Source organism: Homo sapiens, chromosome X (genome assembly GCF_000001405.40).
Source record: "Homo sapiens chromosome X, GRCh38.p14 Primary Assembly".
Classification (NCBI taxonomy): domain Eukaryota; kingdom Metazoa; phylum Chordata; class Mammalia; order Primates; family Hominidae; genus Homo; species Homo sapiens.
Genome location: NC_000023.11, coordinates 91,559,021 through 91,561,976, shown reverse-complemented (window position 1 = coordinate 91,561,976; position 2,956 = coordinate 91,559,021). Strand labels below are relative to the sequence as shown.

The following is a 2,956-nucleotide window of genomic DNA, read 5'->3' as shown; positions in this document are numbered from 1 at the left end:
TAGCCCAACAAGAGAGAAGGGTTGAAAGACTATATAGGGAAATAATAGTTTAAAACATCCCAAACTTGGTGCAAAACAGTAATTCGGAGATTCAATAATATGAATGTACTTTAATTAGATAAACTCAAAGAAATTCACATATCATAATTAAATTTCTGAAAACTAAAGACAATATTAAATACGGAAAGCAGCTAGAGAAAAATGATGCATTGCTGTTAGGAGAATACCAATATCCTAATGATAGTGGATTTCTCACCATAAATTATGAAGCCAAAATCTAAAGTGTCATAATATCTTGTGGGAAGAACTGAAGAAGGTGATCTTGCTTCTGCACAGCCAGCTACAATCCATTGAGGAACATGCCTCTGACCCACCATTGTGCCTGGCCATTTACAGGAATGCTTCATCTGCATGGTCATCAACCCATTTAACCAGTTCTTTGAAGACGAATTGGACCCATTCAAGGTGCTGAAGGCAGCTGAGAACTAGAGAAAATAAGCCAGTGGGGGTGTCACTGGGGGTGCTGGGGCCAAAAGCTCATCTCAGGCCATGGCCCAGACCAACTCCAATGCCACGGACAAACAGTTGTATAAAGAGTCTCAGAAAGACAGCAAGAACCCACTTGCCCCAAAAGTTGGCATGGTTGGCAAGAGGACATATAGTGCCCATGGAGGTTAAGAAAGAAGGAATAAGGTGAATTGGAAGAAGACCCAATCAACAACTGCAAGGTGAAGGGAAAATAATTGAGATAAGACGGGGAAAGGCAACCACCTCATGAAGGAAGATTTGAAAAACCACTTGAAAAGGGTGAAAGAGGAAAATTTTATTTGATAGACCTATCATTTACCAACCCATTCGAGGCTGTGGTGGCCTTGGAAGAAGTAGAGAGGGCTGTCAAAGTGAAATGGGCCAAGGGTATGGATTTGATTTTTATGGTAAATGTGAATTTGATAGGCATGCTGGTAGGCATGCTGGAAGGCATATATCTAGCCTGAAGCACAAGGACAAACATGGAGGTAGTGGATTTTACAACTGGGGAACTGTAAATGATAAGTTAACTGACTTGGATTCATCAAATATGACCTAGGAAACACCTGAAGGTGAAGAACTTCCAGTGGCAGACACTGAAAATAAGGAGAAGGAAGTTTAAGAGGTAAAAAAGAGGGTCCAAAAGAGATGACTTTGGATAAGTGGAATGCTATTCAAAGTAAGGACTGGCCAAAAGTAGAATTTAATATCCAAAAACAAAACAAAGGTACTGATTGATGGGCACTGGAAGAAGAGATGTGCGCTTCATAAATCAAAGAGTGAAGAGACTCATGCTGAACTTGTCATTAAGGACCATCATTTTTGAAAGCCAGCAAATGATATAATGTCTCAGCGGGAGATCAATTTTGGAGACCCTGGCCCTCGAGGACTTGGTGGGAGGGGAAGACAAGGTGAATATGTGGTGGACCTCAGAACCTCAGCAGCACGACTGACAAGTCAGGTGCTTCTGTTCCTGATATGGATGACCCAGAGGCATTTCCAGCTCTGGCTTAACTGAATGCAATAGAACAACCATGGTTCCTTTGTGGAATTTCCTGTTCAATGCCTTTGCATGCTTAAGGATTCGAAACAATGAAGAAATCATGTTTTAAACAGGCTGTCATTCACACAATTCACACTTAAAGACTGAATTGTATCTGTTTTAATAATGAACTTCTCGGCAGCGCGGTGGCTCATGCCTGTGATCCCGGCACTTTGGGAGACCAAGGCGGGCGGATCACGAGGTTAGGAGATTGAGGCCATCTTGGTTAACACGGTGAAATCCCGTCTGTACTAAAAATACAAAAAATTAGCCGGGCGTGGTGGCGGGCGCCTGTAGTCCCAGCTACTCGGCAGGCTGAGGCAGGAGAATGGCGTGAACTCTGAAGGCGGCTGTTGCAGTGAGCCAAGATAGCGCCACTACGCTCCAGCCTGGGCGACAGAGCGAGACTCCGTTTCAAAAAAAAAAAAAAGAACTTCTCTCACTACATAAAATTAACAAATATGGTAGTCAGTTTTGTATTTAAAAATGTATTGGTAGCTATGTTTTTATAAATATCAGGAATTATGCATTCTTCATGAATACTTTTGTATTGCTGCTTGCAAATTTGCATTTCCAAGCTTGAAATATAGGTGTGAAATGTGTATACTAGTTTAAAGCTTTCACTTCATTTATTTTTTTTATTTTAAATTTTTTGTGGATACATAGTAGGTGTGCATATTTATGGGATACATGAGATATTTTGATACAGGCATGCAACATGAAATATTCACATCAAAGTATATGGGATATCCGTCACCTCAAACATTTATCCTTTGTATTACAAACAAACCAATTATACTCTTTTAGTTATTTTTAAAATGTATAATTAGATTATTTTTACTATGGACACTCTGTTGTTCTATCTAATACTAGGCATTATTCATTCTTTCTATTTTTTGTACCCATTAACCATCGCCACTTCCCTCCACCACCAATCCCTACTACCCTTCCCAGTCCCTGGTAATCATCTTTTTACTGTCTGTCTCCATGATTTCAATTGTTTTGATTTTTATATCCCACAAATAAATGAGAATTTGTGATGTTTGTCTTTCTGTGCCTGGCTTATTTCACTTAACATAATGATCTCCAGTTCCATAGATGTTGTTGCAAATGACAAGATCTCATTCTTTGTTATGGCTGAATGGTACTCCATTGTGTATATGTACCACTATTACTTTATCCATTCATCAATTGATGGACACATATGTTGCTTCCAAATCTTAGCTATTGTAAACAGTGTTGCAGCAAATATAGGAGTGCAGATATCTTTGATATACTGATTTACTTTCTTTTGGGTATATACCCAGCAGTGGGATTGCTGGATCATATGATAGCTCCACATTTAGTTTTTTGAGTAACCTCCAAACTGTTCTCCACTGTGGTTTT

The 2,956-nt window shown here is 39.5% G+C and overlaps 1 pseudogene; it reads left to right on the top strand.

Annotated features, from left to right (window-relative positions):
• SERBP1P4 (SERPINE1 mRNA binding protein 1 pseudogene 4) lies at positions 293-1,707 on the top strand (annotated as a pseudogene).